Genomic DNA, 696 nt, shown 5'->3' on the forward strand with positions numbered 1-696 from the left:
CAAAGTCTATTGTAACAATGACTGTTTGTTTTAGAGTTCTAAATTCTAATCCATGAGATAATTTCTTACTGTCTTCCCCAGGCTGTGTTGAGAATCGAAACTGCAAAACATGACGGCAGTTAAAAAACAAAAAAGAAAGCAGTTTGCCAGCATATTGCTACACACTGTAATTCAGATACTCAGTGATGAATTCTAGCAATTATATAGCAGTATAAGAATACATAGTAAAAACTCACTCCTTGCAACTAACTTGGGAGAAGCTAGTTATCACACAGAACTTTATCATGAGAAATTTTTAATGAAATTATCACACAGAACCTTATCATGAGAAATTTTTAAAACAATGACACTATAAATTTGAAGGAATTGTTTTACTTTGAAATGCCCTGAACTTCCCTGGTATTTTTTTCCTCTCCTAAAGTGCCATCCTTCTTCCCAGACCAGCCATGCCCATCCCTGCTCCAGAGCCTTCACTCATGCTTTCCTACCTTGGAACACCCCCTCCCACTTAAGCCACTTTCTTCGCTTTTCAGGGTCACATTCAGGTCTTACCTTTTCTCTCAGTCCTTCTCTATTCACTGCTTGCCTCCTGCTCTCTCTCTCCTCTGATTATTCTCGTGGTTGAGCTCTTGATTGTTCTCTAGCTAACTTTTGAATTCTAGTTTTGTTTCCCTTACTATTAATAGACTGAAGACA

This window comes from Homo sapiens, chromosome 1 (genome assembly GCF_000001405.40).
Source record: "Homo sapiens chromosome 1, GRCh38.p14 Primary Assembly".
In the NCBI taxonomy this organism is placed as follows: domain Eukaryota; kingdom Metazoa; phylum Chordata; class Mammalia; order Primates; family Hominidae; genus Homo; species Homo sapiens.